This window comes from Homo sapiens, chromosome 12 (assembly GCF_000001405.40).
Source record: "Homo sapiens chromosome 12, GRCh38.p14 Primary Assembly".
Taxonomy (NCBI): Eukaryota; Metazoa; Chordata; class Mammalia; order Primates; family Hominidae; genus Homo; species Homo sapiens.
The window spans coordinates 58,957,294-58,974,040 of record NC_000012.12 but is presented as its reverse complement, the minus strand read 5'-3'; the positions used below and the strand labels follow the sequence as shown (position 1 = coordinate 58,974,040).

Sequence of the window (16,747 nt, the reverse complement as noted above, 5' to 3'; positions counted from 1 at the left end):
TTTAAATGTATATTTCCATGGTAGAATAAATACCTTTTGTTTTTGTGGTTTCATAAATAATTTCCCCTGTAATGCATTGCAGGTTAAAATATTTAAATTTTCTACAGAAAAGTATACTTCTTTATGAAATAAAAGAGACCTTCAATGCTGGACTGCATTGCTGAAATACAGTGCAGCAAAGTATTCATCAGTGGTACCCCCCATCACTTCCTAAATTGTAAGTCTTACTTTTTGTTAATTTAACTTTTAAAAATGCATTTTTCAAGTGATATCTTGACATTTCCCCTTTTCATCTGCCCCAAGTATGAAAGGGTGGGCGTGCATAACGTAGGACAGGTAACCGAGTGTCTCTCACTTGCCAAGTTTCAATTAGGATGACACTGATTTATTAGTGTTTGCATAAATTTTATCTCCATTGAAAAATAAATGAGAAAAAGTATTATAAATATTAACTCACAGAGACAAACACCATGATAAAATATTTCCCCCTCACACTTCAGATTTACTGAAAGTCAATTTTATCAATGCCTAGGTTATTTTCTTATTTAAAACCAGCTAGAAATGTTGACTTTATATAATTGTAAGAAATTCCCTATGTTCATTGTGATCAAATAGTATCAAGCTATCAAAATCTTTATGATTTCAAGTACTTTTTTAAAAGACTAAGTATACATTATTAATAAATGCAAGGATGCACAGAGAACTCATATGAGCAGATATAATAATTCTGGAAGAATGAGGTATGTGGTCATGAGGCCCTCCATGGAGACCCTGCCATTCTGGTTTAGAATTGCTGCATTTTTCACTCCTCTCTTCTAACATACTTTCAACTATCTACAAGTTGTGGCAGACTGATGACAAGTGTCAACCAACTTGCTCCCGCATAAACCCTTTTACCAGAGACACTAGTAAGTAAAAATTAGAGAGAAGAAGAAATTACATTGTTTTTAGTTCATATATATTATTTTATTATCAAACCTCCCATTACAAGAAATTCATTTGAAAGAGTATTTTTCCAGGCAACAATGACAATTTAGGCTGGCTAAGAAACATATTAACCAGGCTGGGCACGGTGGCTCACACCTGCAATACCAGCACTTTGGGAGGCAGAGGCGGGTGGATCACCTGAGGTGAAGGAGTTCGAGACCAGCCTGGCCAACATGGTGAAACCCCATCTCTACTAAAAATACAAAAAAAGGCGGGGCAAGGTAGTGCACACCTGTAGTCCCAGCTACTCAGGAAGCTGAGGGAAGAGAATCAATTGAGCTGGGAGGCAGAGGTTGCATTGAGCCAAGATCCTCCCACTGCACTCCAGCCTGGGTGATGGAGTGAGACTCTGTCTCAAAAAAAAAACAAAAAAAAAAAAAAAGAAAGAAAGAAAAGAAATACATTAACCACCTCTCAGCTGAATATTTAACAATGAAAATAGGTTCACATATTAGATTTTGCTGCATCATCTTGGACAAAAAATTCCAGCAACTTTTCTGAGTTTCTGGATCATTTTAGATGAAGAGTATCTTGAAACTTCAAGGCAGGTTGTTTTAAAAAGGGTTGGGGTGGGTTGTGGAGATGGTTAATGGGTGCAAAAATATAGTTAGATAGAATGAATATGATCTAGTATTTGATAGCACATCAGGGTGGACTATAGTCAGCAATAATTTATTGCACATTAAAAAAAAGAAAATAGAATTGGAATATTTCTAACACAAAGAAATGATAAATGCTTGAGGTGATGGGTACCTCATTCACCCTGATAAGACTATTGTACATTGTATGCCTGTATCAAAACATCACATGTATCCAATAAGTATATATACCTACTATGTACAGACAAAAATTAAAAATAAAATAAAAACAAATGAGGAAACAAAAAACACTGCTACCATTTGTAACCACTTTAATGTGTGAATCAGGATTTTCTCAATATTGTGAAACCAAATAATACAGAAATCAATTTGATGCTACAGTTGATATAAGGTTACAACTATCTTCTCTAATATACCTTTTAAATTTTTGTGCTAATCAAAGTAATTTCATTGTTCTTATTAACAGATTTATAATAAGCATATTATATGAATTTGAACTCAATATACATCTTTGTATAAAAAAATTTTAATCTGATTTCTATACTGGAGTTTCATATAAGAATGTCATAAAAGAAAACTTCCTTTGAACACTACCAGTATAAATAAAGGACAAGTGAAATTCTAAAACAGAAATATTGGAGGTGGGAGGGACTGAAAATACTAGGTATTTTAAGGTCTAAAGGAGAGCCGTGAAGTGGTATGGGAAATTTCCTAAAGAACGCTGATAATATTCTCATCTTGAAACAAGAAGTGGAAAAACACACTAAATATATTTTAGTATACAACGTGTTTAGCTTCAAAAAGTTGCTAACAGATGAAACTTAGTGTTCATATGTAAAAAAGAGAGAGATTGAACTAAAAATTAGTTAGACTCTATAGCTCTCTGAACTAGTCTTAGGAGAAAATCAACCAAAAATAAATACCAGAATAATAACTGCAGAAAATTTGCTGGAGGTAGGGTTGTGAATTTTTTTTAACATTTTGCCATATTTACTTTTTTTCTTTTAAAATATTTTTAATTGATACTTAATATTTGTACATATGTATGAGGCAAAGTGTGATGTTTTGAAACATGTATACATTGTGTAATAATCCAATCAGGGTATGTAGCATATCCATCACCTCTGACACTTATCATTTCTTTGCAATGAGAACATGCAAAATTGTCTCTTACAGCTATTTTAAAATATACAATACAATATTGTTAACTATAGTCATGCTGCTATGCAATAGCATACAAGAACTTATTTCTTGTTTTTATTATCTGTACTCCAGTTATTTCCAGACAGATCATGTGCTCTTAATCCTCAAAATCTCTTCAACTTCTCCATTTAACTGCAACATTCTTCTCTGCTCTACTCTTGCCAAACCCTAGTTCAACACTCAAAGCTCCATTCAAACGTTACCTCTTCAGAGAGTCTTTCTCAATTCCTCCAGGCACAGTTGGCCTCTATTACAGTACTATCATTTTTATTGTAATTACTTGTTTTGAAAATCTATCACCCCATGACACTATATGATTCTCAAGGATGGTAACTCTGTATTATTCATTTTTGTATTCCAGCAACTATTACAGCACCGAGCACATGTATAATCGATGCTGGGTCCATATTCGTTGAATGGATGAGCTTAAACACATGCACACACATGAACACCCACATACACATTCTGCTCATATTAATGTACTGTGCTATCTCAAGTAGTTTATTTCACCATCTGCAAAATGGCTTTATCTCTCCTGATTAACATTTTAAAAACCTATAGAAATATTTTTTAAAAGCAGGGGGAAAAGTACTTTCAAAGAAAAACTTGAATCTTTAAAAGTATACATAATGATGCCAACAGTAATCATACATTTGATAAACGACATTTGGGCACTAGGCACTGACAGGAGAGGTCTCTCTTGTATATTATAAAACACACTCGAAACTCTTTACACTGTAGCCAGTTAATATTGTTTATGATAAAAATATGATGGTGATAGTAATGACAAGGCTGATGGCATTTATTCCATTCAAGAAGTGACCGCAATAATTAATTAAGGTAAGAATAAGTAATACTAATACAAAGAAAGGCACTATATCAAAAGCTGTTTCAAAGCCCAAAGGAGTCCCCATTTTAACAGTTAATGTGGTTAAAATAATTTGTTCAAAATAAATAGTGCCATCCAACAAGAGCTCTTCAAGTTCACAAAGCATTTACTTTTCTTGGATGCATCGGTTATTTGTTTCTTTTGATCTAACATGAGTTCATTTTCTATTACCATGTAGTCTTTCCCATTTCAAATATCCTACACCGGTTGGTTAAAAAAAACATTAATAATAAAAATAAAAATATAAGCCACCTTTCAAGAAACATTTACACGTTACTGAAACCATGTACTGAAAATGGAACTCAAACTTGGAACTAGAAAAGTGATGACAAAGAATGCCCTTAATACCCTCTCTTCCCTAACATCTGCAGAGAGCATTTTTACTAGCTAATTCAATACAAAGAAGCTGAGAATTAGCCCAGCTTCATCTTTTTAACTTGCAGACTAGGAGCTTGGTATCTAGTAACGATTTTAACAAAATACCATTGCAAATAAACAATGTGAGGTGTTTACAAGTTCAAAAAATTACATTGCATCTTCTCTCTCCTTTTTCTCTCTTTCTTTCTTTCCTTACTTCCTTCCTGTAGGTTTGAAAGAAATCTAACCATTTCTTAGCCTTGCTTGTTTCCATAAGGCCACTTCTAAATTTTTCCTTGATACATGTAAGTACAAAAAAAAAAAAAAGCTTTACCAGCTGTGTTCCCCACCCCGCCATTATTTACCCAAACTACTTCATTGCCACAGTTCAGGGATGCCAGTAATGAAGGCTCACCAGCGACTGCCAATACCCCTGAAATATCAATACAGTAAACTAGTAGGCATCAAAGGGATTCCTAAATAACACCAAGGACAGTTTTATTACCCATAAAGTAGAAAACCCACACAGAAGAGAAGCTGTCCTGGCGTTACTGTTTATTGGCCAGGTGGAACTGATTAAGAATGTGAGAATCTGTGGTAGGAATAATCATGGGCTTCTTGTGTTCAACACAAAAAAAGGGTTTCACATAACCCAGCAATAGCAGGGCATTAGTGCTCCACACTTGGAGCTATTTATACTCAGAACCAGGCTAGACAGGCTGGCTCAGAGGAAGTAATATTAAGGAAGAGTATAGAAGACAGAAAAGCTATTCTCAAAAACCACAAATAAAGTACAGCAGATTACAATTCCTTTGCAAATGAAAGTAAGGATTACCCCAAGTGAATTCAGTCCAGGCAATATTAAGATGGATGGGTAGCTCATAGCCAGGTCTGGTTTCATTTGAAGTCCTCCTTACCAAGAAGGCCAAAAATTGCATTCCCTGCAGGAAATACTTTCTTGTCTTTAGGCTGCTTTACCAGATGTTGAAGTGGGAAAAGATGCTACTGGAGAACAGTGTGAAGAAGTTTGATCAGGGAGAGAGGCATTTTATCTTTAGTCTTCACATGAAGGAAAATAGTCATGTTTATGAAAATCATAAAGTAGCAGAATCCAGAGAGATATAATAGATGGTCAGTATTCATGGTATGAATATTCTCTACTTTGCAAAAGATTGTGATGCAGGTTTGCTTTGAATGTGTTCCTATTACATTCTACAAATGGTTTTATATTCAAAATTATATACATTTATGTTTCCATAGGTATCCATTTTGTAATCTAGAAAGACTACTGAAAATTATCCCCAAAAACCTATATATTACATGTATTACATGAAAATAAGTTATGACTAAAGAACACAAAAATATTACCATAAACTTTCTAGAAAACTTGATAGGTTTTCATGGAACAAGAAAATCAATATAATGAAGAAAATAAGGTTTAGATTTAGGTAGAAGTTCGCTTTTAATAATTCATTCAGTCTATATGAGATAAAAACTCTTGCCAAGGATTTTTACATCTCTACTTTTCAAAACACTATTAATTTCAAACGTTATCCTATTAAAAATTTTAAACTTTGCTTCATTAATTATAAATGAGTATCAAAGGAAATAAACTATCCTAAATATATGAAATATAATTTAGTTTTTTTAAAAAAAAGTAGCTCCTTTACTGTAGGAAATAACAGTAAAACTCTAAGGAAGTGAAATATGAACACATAATAGAAAAGCACACATGTTCATAAATCATGCATCAGTTATCAACAAAATAAATATGGAAACTTAGCAAGTAAAATTAGAGTTTAGAATCTGATTACATTACTATGGTATATATTGTACCAAAAGAAAAATTAAAAGTCAAATCTAACTGTATCAGTGTGTATAAGAAACCATTCTCTCACAGTACATCTGTGATTACTTAGAGTATAATTCTTTGTGATTCTCAGTATCAAAGATCATCCAAAGCTATAAGCAAAGTAAGAATCTTTTAAGCATTTGGTATATTCTCCATGATGAATCCAAAGTCTGCCTTAACATCTAGAGTTAAATTTCATAATGTCTAAATTCTGTTCCATTTAAAGACTAGAAGTAACTCATTTCATTTGATCATCACTTTCAATTTGAAGGACTAGAATATTCCTGGAAAGAAGTGGCTTTTTGCTCCCTTTATATTATTTGTCCACTATCTGTATACAGAGGATGAGGCATGATGTCATGCAACAGCTTTCTGGTCATGCATGAAGTATGAAGAGGCACGGAAGGGGAAGAGGTGCGTCTTACATGGCGGCAGGCCAGGGAGAGCATGTGTCAGCACAGAAAAAACTACCATTTATAAAACCATCAGATCTCATGAGAATTCACTCTCTATCACAAGAACAGCATAGGGGAAACCGCCCCCATTATCAATCATCTCCCACCTGGTCTCTCCCTCAGTACCTGGGGATTACAATTCAAGATGAGATTCGAGTAGGGACACAAAGCCTAACCATAACAGCATCTAACCAGGTTCAATGACAACATAAGGAAGAGTTTAAAAGGCATGCCTAAATTTGAAAATAGAGTTTAGGTGGAAATAACAGGTGAGACTATTTTGTTAATGGTATTTAATGTCTAGACTAATGTCTACCTCAATAAACACATTGATTTTTTCTGACTTGTATTCTAAATAACTTTCTATTAAGATTTTCTCTCAGATATGTTACCATTTGCAATTATCTTAATAAACCCACAGCTTCATTTTGAAAGTTGTATTGATTTTAGAAAGGGAAATTTCTATGACTGGCAAATGGCTTGTACATCTGCTCAGAGAATGGGAAGTTGTGAGGCCAAGCAGCAAACAGAAGGCAAAGTCTCCTATGAGAGAAGAGAGTCATATGTGCTGAGTCATGGTCTAAAATGATCACAAATCAAAACATGGAGTGCAGGAGAGGCACACTGGTGGCAGGGAGGAGAGCATTCGGGAACTCCTAACACCCGACTACTTTGCACCCAGTGAGGTCAGCCTCCTCCATCCTACCTGCCTAGCAATGAACACAAGTCCCTCCAGGACCTTGGTTTAGTAAGGCCTTGACAAGGCCATCCTGCGTCCTTTACTTCCAAATATGGACCTGCACGTGCATATTCCCTCCTGAAATGTATTGCCAGAGCTACCCGATATGCTTTCACTCTGCTTAGAAGTATTTGAACTTCTAGACGACCCCTACCAAACTTCTGGGGACAGTTCTATTTTCATCGTATGTGACTTCATGCCTAACCAATTTATTCCCTTCAAGGTGATCTTACGAAATGCAAATTTGATCATGTTCTGCTGTTTGAAAGCTTTCAAAGAAAAAAAAAAAAACTTTATTTTTCTAGTCAAAGCCTCCATCTTTGCCCTGTTAGATAGCCTTACGTATGCTGGGCATAACTCTGACTCCTTTATCATACTACTGATTACAATGTAATCTTATTGCTGTTGTTATATTGTTAAGTATTATTATTATGCTTATTATTTTCCACTTTCCTCTACAAAACTATTGATCTATAAAGGCACTGCTTGTTCAATGCTACTTCCTTAGTACAGTGTCTGTCAGATAGCCGGCACTCAAAAATAGTTTTTGAATGAATAATAAATGAATGAAATATATTACTCTTGGCTCCTATTGTTCATTTCTGTCTTACAGAAGTTATATTTTGGAAGAGGAGTATTTGCCCTGGAAAATTAAAAAACTATTTTTAAAACAATTTTCTTTCACATTTATATATAACATAGATGACATATTGTATTATATGTCAACATATACATACGTTAGAAAAGCTCAGGACTGCTGAGATTTTGCTATTTGTACATATATATGGAATCAGACCCTCCGCATCATTGTCATGGTTGTCTCACATCAGTGAGGTCTTGACACCAGTAAGAAATAAAGAACATTAGAAGAATGGTGTAAAAACACCCTTGCTTAGATCATTCTTTATCATGGTTGAAAAATTCCAAACACCATGTTGGGGCAGATGCAGATTATTATTGGCCTTTACATTTCAGATTTCTTTTTCCTTGTTAAAACTTCAAACTGAATTTATTTTATTTGTCTTACCATTATGAAAAGGTGCACATATTTCAAGCAGAGGTGAGAAAAGGGAAGTCGAGAGGAGTCCATTCCAGCCAGAAGGAAAAGCCTGTACGGAGACAGACAAATAGGAAGCTGCAAAGTGTGCCTGATGATTCAACTGTGCGCATGCTAGGAGCTCAGGTTTGGGTGTGGCAGGTAATGAATGACAGAAGGTCAGACTAGAAACATGAGTGGATCAGCTCATGGAAGGCTTGGATACTCCACATACTCTGACCAGACTCTATTTACTTATATAACTATGGGGTGGCACAAATTTAAATGTAGGATTTCATCACTAGCAGAAAATCAACATAAATTTCAGATGTGATTTCAAATATAGAGACTCAGCACAGATGTGGGATGCATCTTCACTGATAGGTTGATAATGCTCTGGGTTAAGAAATCCATCTGATGTGTAAAATCAGGAAATGGGCATTGTCAGATAACAGAGAATCAATCAAGTCAAGTTGATAGGCTTTTCCCCTGGTTGTGGAAATTCGAGGAATAAATGCCCACTGGATTCACAAATAAGTATTATCTTGAGCAACAAAAGTAAACGAATTTTTATAGAGGTGCGTGGATGCCCGGTACAGTGGTTGGAGACTGTAATCCTAGCTACTTAGGAGACTGAAGCAGGAGGATTGCTTGATGCCATGAGTTCAAGACCAGTTTGGGCAACATAGTGAGACTCTACTTCTAAAACAAAACAAACAACAACAAAAAATTTTAATCAGCTGAGTGTGGTGGCACCTGCCTGTTGTCCCAGCTACTAGGGAGGCTGAGGCAGGAAGATCTGTTGACCCCAGGAGTTAGAGGCTGCAGTAAGCTATGATCATGTATAGTAGACATACCCGATAGCAAAATCTTAATCAAATCCTGAGAATGACCCTGTTTGGTAGATGCACCTGAATGTATATACGTTCAGAATTCCAAACTGTGGAACCTAGGAGTAGCCAACACCAAGATTCATTCCTTATCTATGAAGAACACCTGAGTTTCTGGCCTGTTCCCTTGGAACACGGGCCACTCGAGGAATCAAGCCCCTTTGTTTTGGGTTAAATGAAGGCTGCCAGGTGGAGGTTGTTAGGGAGAGGGTGCTAAGTGAAATGTCATATAAACCACATGCTTCTTGCAAGTGGTTGCAGTTCTCCTGTACAGCTCACTGCCACTGGACCAGCTCTATGTGTAAGTTTCCTTCAATAAGACCCCATGTCCTGTTTGCTGGATCTGAGTCTCTTTCTCAGCCTCCTGAACCTGATGCTATCCCTACTGATGTTACTGGAGTGCCACTGCACTCCAGCCTGGGCCACAGAAGACATTTCATCTCAAAAAATAAAAATAAAAATAAAAAAATACAGGCCAGGTGTGGTGGCTCACACCCGTAATCTCAGCACTTTGGGAGGCCCAGGTGGGTGGAACACCTGAGGTCAGGAGTTCGAGACCAGCCTGGCCAACATGGTGAAACCCTGTCTCTACTAAAAATACAAAAATTAGCCAGGCGTGGTGGCAGGCACCTGTAATCCCAGCTACCCGGGAGGCTGAGGCAGGAGAATTGCTTGAACCCGGGAGGCGGAGGTTGCAGTGAGCCGAGATCGTGCCACTGCACTCCAGCCTGGGCAACAGAGAAAGACTTCATCTCAAAAAAAAGCAACAAAATACACACACACATATATATATATATAAGTACATATATAGATAGATAGATAGATAGATAGATAGATAGATAGATAGATAGATAGATAGATATAATTTAAAGTGGGGGTGAAAGTAAGACCAGGAAATGAAGCTAGAGACAGAATTTTCTGAGAACAATAGGGCAGGGGAAATGTCAAGTGTGTCCAGGTAGCCTTCGGCTTTTACTACTTCACTGATCCTTAAGATAATTACTTCCTTCTTACTAGCCTCCCTCTTCTCCTGTCTCCAGGTGCTGCTTGCATCAATGCTGGTTCAAAGAAAAACTATAGCTGGACAGCAGTTAAAACAGTAAAACCAAATTTTTGCAGGACTATTGTAATAGGTGAAAAGAGACCTCAGTACAAAACTAGATTAAATTCCAAATACAGCATGGGCAAGTGGGACTTTATAGCCAAGGAGCAGGGTGAGGGTCAGTGGATAAAGGAAACATTGTGGGTATTGGAGTTTCTTACTAAACCATCCTAAATGGATTCTTGCTGAAGACCAGGGAGATCAGACATCACTTGGGGAGTGGTGGAGAAGGAAGAACCTGATAAGATATCAAGAATGATCTGATATTGGCGAGGTGTAGTGGCCCATGCCTGTAATCCCAATACTTTGAGAGGCCGAGGCAGGCGGATCACTTGAGGTCAGGAGTTCGAGACCAGCCTGCCCGTCACTACTAAAAAAAAAAAAAAAAAGGCCGGGCACGGTGGCTCACACCTGTAATCCCAGCACTTTGGGAGGCCGAGGCGGGTGGATCACAAGGTCAGGAGATCAAGACTATCCTGGCTAACACGGTGAAACCCCGTCTCTAATAAAAATACAAAAAATTAGCTGGGCGTAGTGGCGGGCACCTGTACTCCCAGCTACTCGGGAGGCTGAGGCAGGAGAATGGCGTGAACCCAGGAGGCGGAGCTTGCAATGAGCCGAGATTGTGCCACTGCACTCCAGCCTGGGTGACAGAGCCAGACTCCGTCTCAAAAAAAAAAAAAAAAAAATTAGCTGGGCATGATTGTGCGTGCTTGTAGTCCCAGCTACTCGGGAGGCTGAGGCAGGAGAATCGCCTGACTCCCAGAAGGTGGAGGTCACAGTGAGCTGAGATCACACCACTGCACTCCAGCCTGGGTGACTCCATCTCAAAAAATAAATAAATAAATAAAATAAAATAAAATAAAATAAAATAAAATAAAATAAAATAAAATAAAGAATGATCTGATACAAAGGATGGGGGATCCCGACTAAACAAACTTAGCAGGGACTTTCTAAAACTGGATTTTACAAGGAGGTGCACAGATGGGCCTAGGAGAAGGTCCAGGAACCTGACTAAAGTTTGGTAAAGCAAAGAATCCTCATGATGCTCAAGCAAAGCACCTTTCTTTACCTCTGCCACTAGAAAGGAAGGCCCTTGGCTACGGACTTGTTCTCTGCTAGATGGCAATGACTGGTCCAGCTAGTGAATGATTGAGTTCTCTGCTGCTGCCTTTTGAGTACTATCGTAGCTCATCTCAGATCAAATATCCACTTTCTTTTTCTTCCTATTATTTTTTAATTTGAATGAAAAATTTCAGCCACACAGAAAAGTTGAAATATTTAATGGAAATCTGTGTGTCCTCTCTCTTTCTCTTTTATTCTTAAGATTCAGAGGGTACATGTGCAGGTTTGTCACATGGGTATGTTGGATGATATTGGGGGTTGGGCTTCTAGTGAACCCAAATAATGAACATAGTACCCACTAGATAGTTTTTAGCCTGGCCTCCTTCCCTCACTTTCACCTTCTGGAATCCCCAGTGTCTATTCTTTCCACCTTAATACCACGTGTAGTCATTGTTTAGCTCCCACCTATAAGTGAGAACATGCGGTCAAATGCCCACTTCCCAGGACCCCAGAAGACAAGTAGGATTGTCAGGGAGGCTTTCAGCATTTCTATAATCAAAATAAGCCAGTAAACAGGGTGGCTTTAGTAGCAGCATTTGAGGAGAAATATTGTCAAGAGAAAACAAGCTGAAATCTCAGACACCGTCTTGCCTAACGTAGGACATCTGGTTACCTTATACTAGTATAGTCAATACATCAGAAGAGTCTAAAATGCAACATCCTGATGACCATATTAACTCTCCCATATGAAGCTTACCCTGGAATTTCCTGTATTTGTGTTTCAATTTCCGGGTTTATTTCTTCACATTCTTCATGAAAAGAGCTGGGGGGAGTGGGGAGAGAGGGCAGCAGGAAAGAAGAAAGGGAGAGAAAGAAGAGAAACAGAAAAAGTGTTCAGGAGATTATAGCTGCTCTTGTCATGGGGGCGAGGGTGGGGGGATGTGGGGTGGGTGAGTAGCTAGATGGCATGATGAATATGTTAATTGGTTTCATCGTAGTAATCATTTTACTATATATGTATCTGATAATGTCATGTTGTGTATCTTAAATATGTAAAATATTTATTTTTAAAAGATTTATGAAGGTAACATTTAAATGAACATTCCCTCCAGAAATGGGGCAGAGGGAAGTCCTTAGCCTGAGGAAGAGGTATTTTAAGCAGACATTTAATGAATACAAGCATTCAAAAGAGGTGTGAACGTATATGTGTTCTGATTACAGCAAACACCATAAAACAAATAAATACTTTCATTAGCTAAGAACTTTAAGTAACCATTTGCCAAGTTTATCTTCAGAGTCTTTCCTGTCAAATGTCAGAATTGTAATTTTAGCTGTTCTTTTAAAATAAGGCTTAATTAGGACCCAAAAGTAAGGAAGAGGATTTGACTTTTCTATGACATGGCAAAAGGGTGCAACCAGATCGCGTTGCACAGCCCATGGGAGCAAAGTCCTAGCTCTCAAATTTCTTTTCTTCAAAGTTATAGGAAGCTGCGACAGCTAAGATCTCCAGGGCTGTCTTTATTCAGTGGCTGAGCAACAGGACACTCACTATTCACTTATTTGTCTGCTTTGTATGGCTGAACAGCCTAAGAGTACTCTCTAATTTCATGTAGAGGAATCTCTTACACATGTAATTTTGAATGAAAATTACTCAATTCTTAAGAATTCATTTTTTAAATAGTGGTAAAAAGTATTATCAAAAAGAAATTACATTTGGTTTTAATCTACTTTTGTACAGAAAATTACTATTTTTTTAATTAATTAATTTTTTTAGAAAGTCTCACCACATTGCCCAGGCTGGTCTCGAACTACTGATCTCAAGCCTTCCTCCCACCCCTGCCTCCTGAGTAGCTCGGATTACAGACTCGAACCACTGCACCTGACCAGAAACATATTCTTAATGTTGTGAAGTAGGCAATTACGTCTGAAATTGCTGGGCTTGCAGGACTGAACCTGGGAAACAGGCCTTTTGCCGTCTATGACTCTGCCAAATGGTTTTCATCTTTCTTCATTCATCTAATGGGTATGATCAGTGGTGTACTAGAGCTGACTGTACACATTTCTTCCCAATTCCATATTCAATAACTTGGGTTGCTTGAAATTGGCCATAATGAGATTATTTACACCATGAACATGGGCAAACACTACAAATATCAAAGGTTTTCCCCCAGAGAGCTAGCTGTTAAACATTTACTACACAACTGAGATTGAGTGTGATATTCATATTTATAGTGTAATGACAAGTTTTATAGGCATTGTTGAAAAGTGTGTTTGATTTTGCCATTTTCTATGTAAATTTGAATATTCTGATTTTGAAACTGATCACCAAAGCAGCTGATATATTTATTTGAAGGTGGTCTATTGTAAACCATTAAAACTATTACAAAAAATCATAATTGAAGAGTTTGATTCCCCATTATTTTTAAAAACAAATAACTCTTAAATGGGAATGATCCCACACTAGAATTCAACATGAATTGGTATGTTTGCTTATTCATGACACATTTGGCCTATCACAAAGCTCCATTTGCCTTTCAGCATGATGAGAAATTGACTGAAGCTGACATTAAAGACCCTCAAAAGGTATTTTGTCCTGAACCTTTAAGGGTTAGCTAGAGCTGGCAAAGGTTACAGAAGGAAGTAGATGTTCATAAAGTGTAGTTTGGAGTTTGATAGGGTAACATGCTTCTTTCTCTTAGATCAGCAAGGATAACAGAAGGGACCAGACCACACAGAAGAGATATCACCTTTGTGCAGTTAAACATAGATACTCCTTTTAGGATAGATACAAATCTGTCCAGAAGGCCTCCCAGAAGGAATTATATACTTGCAAAACCACAAACCATGGACTTGGGTCTGTTTCTATTAGGGAATTCTTTCCCAGACATTATGTCACTTTATTTTTCTTTTAACATTGTTTGTGAACAGGTCTGCAACTATAGAAAATGTGTTGATTATACCTGTCACAATGAAACTGTTTTCCAAACACTTTACAGTTTTCATGCCAATAAAATAACTTGGAACATCTAGAGCAGATAGTTTAATCATTAAATTTTATACGTATTTACTTATGACATCATTTTCTATTTCAAACATGACCAGATCCCATATTCTCTGTTGAGATTGAAGAGGTCATTTTATATATAACAAAAAAGTATCAATTTTTTCAAACAAATGATTAACCATTTTTTAAGTTGCTTTTTCAGGCTGGAAAAAATGGGTAGCCAAGCATTTTCTGAATGGTCAAAGGAATATCAGAAATATGTATTTATGAACAGTATTAGCAAGACAGAATCAATCACTTTACGGATATGTAGGCTGAGGTCTTGAAAAAAATCAAAGAATTATAGATTTTAGGAGGTGGAATCTTAGAATTCATGTCTGATTGTCTACTGTAACAGATGAAGAAGCCAAGTGGTGCAATTAGATGATTTGTTAGGGGGTCATATATCTGGCAGGTGGCTGAAGCCTTTTGGCTAAATCAGGCATTCTAATTTCTGAGACCATTTTCCATAGCACTGTGGTCTTTCCAAGATATACAGCTGACATGCCAACATAGCATTTACAGTGTTAAAATCGTGCCTCCTTTTCACCAGAGGGACTTTAGTAGATTTCAAATAAACTCTTTTGTTTAGTGTTTTCATTTTTACAATTATATAATGTAGCACCTTTACAAGGCATATGTTGACACACAGCATTAACTCTTCTAGGTTAACCATGTTACATCAGACTTTCCCAGGGGTAGGTGTTATATTTCTGGAGATATGTTTTTAGTCCAATACTTGTAGAAGTCAATATATTTCAGTAGGAATTATGCTTCACAGCTGGAAAAATTAAGACAAAAAGGTTACTTAACATATCCAAACTACACTCATAGTTAGAGTCAGGTCATTTCTATCTTTCAAATTAGATGGCTTGCTACTCAACTACACATCAATTTAATCTTTAGTAACACAGAGGAAAACCACAAGAGAAACCTAGTAGCTTCAATTACCCATAGCAAACATGCATTTACAGATGCCACTTCAGGGGCTATAATAAGGGGAAATTGACTGAAGGTCAATTCCACATTGGGATTCCACATTCCCAATTCCACATTGGGAAAAGCCCCCAGTACAAAGCAGAGAACACATTCTGAGTTCAGCCCCCAGGTAGGAAAACCCTAATACTCTTTAAAGTAGGGATCACTATTTGGAAAATTAATTCTCTAGTCTTTTAGCTCTACTCAAATTTCATATTCATCTTTCATATGTGACTTTTTATTTGCAATGCTCAATTATTAGTTTTAGACTTTTAGAGTTGAAAGGGGTCTTGAAGATCCAGCCCCACACAGCACAGAGATTCATTCAGCATTGCAAATAGTCATCTATCTGTTACTTAAATATATCTAATGAGAGAATACATGTATTTTTTGTCAAAAATCTTACAAAGGCCCCAGTACAATGCAACACAAATATATCACTTCTGGGGTATATCTCAAAATTCATAACATCAATGTAATAATAAGAATATATCAGACAAACTCAAAATGAAGGATACTCTACAAAAGAGCTGCCAGTGTTTTGATCTTGGATTGATCTTGGACTGCCCAGCCTTCAGAACTGTGAGCAATAAGTTTCTGTTATCTATAAATTAACAGGTGTAAGGTATTTTTCATAGCAACCTGAATGAACTCAGATAGTATAAAAACTGGGGAAGCCCAAATGTTAATTTCTTATTTTGATAAATATACTATGGTTATGTAAAATGTTTATATTAGATATAAATTACATGAGAAATTAACATTAGAGGAAGCTGGGTGAAGCGTATATAGAAACTCTCTGTACTAGCTTTGTAACTCTTCTCTAAGTATAAAATTATTTCATAATAAAGTAAAAAGTATCTTGGCTAGATGCGGTGGCTCACTCCAGTAATTCCTGCACTTTGGGAGGCCAAGGCAGGTGGATCACATGAGGCCAGGAGTTCGAGACCAGCCTGGCCAACATGGCAAAACCCCATCTCTACTAAACATACAAAAATTAGCCAGGTATTGTGGCATGCACCTGTAGTCCCAGCTACTAGGGAGGCTGAGGCAGGAGAATCACTTGAACCCGGGAGGTGGAGGTTGCAGCGATCCGAGATCACACCACTGCACTCCAGCCTGAGCGATACAGCGAGACTCTGTCTCAAAAAAAAAAAAAAAAGTATCTTAAAAAGATATTACTTCCATTTTATGATGAAGAAACCGATTGACTAAGATGTGAGAGTTAATGAGTGAGTTTTTAACTTCAGCCTGTCCCTTACCTTTTTTGGTAATTAAATCAACGTTTTGTTGAGAAGCATCATAAAAATGAGGGTTGGACACTTCAACGCCGTTTCTGCCACTCACAAACCTAAACAAATTTCCTTGGCTGTAAAATGTCATGGTGATTGGCACAATGTACATGCTCAATAACTGTTAGCCACCTACTGAACATCCACTGAAGGCACAGAAAATGACTTAGCTAATGTCCAAGCAGCCACTTTAACAGCAGTCCTCAAACCTGGCTGAGCAGCAAAATCAACTGGGGAGCTTTTGAAAAAATGTAAATTCC

The 16,747-nt window shown here is 37.1% G+C and overlaps 1 long non-coding RNA gene across 1 annotated transcript in view, besides 2 other annotated features; it reads right to left on the bottom strand.

Moving 5' to 3' along the window:
• The window catches only part of LRIG3-DT (LRIG3 divergent transcript), a 210,172-nt gene that overhangs the window by 156,835 nt on the left and 36,590 nt on the right, over positions 1 to 16,747 (bottom strand). The gene's annotated exons all lie outside the window — the stretch shown is intronic.
• Positions 3,304 to 6,192: an enhancer, noted in NCBI's record as "VISTA enhancer hs1468". NCBI's record gives its function as "enhancer in: limb[3/5]" and the evidence as "EXISTENCE:transgenic organism evidence [ECO:0001131][PMID:17130149]".
• Positions 8,113 to 8,282: an enhancer, noted in NCBI's record as "experimental_30204 CRE fragment used in MPRA reporter constructs". NCBI's record gives its function as "activates a minimal promoter by MPRAs in K562 erythroleukemia cells, with activity observed for both the introgressed and non-introgressed 12:59359625 variant alleles {active_cell/tissue: K562}" and the evidence as "EXISTENCE:reporter gene assay evidence [ECO:0000049][PMID:34662402]".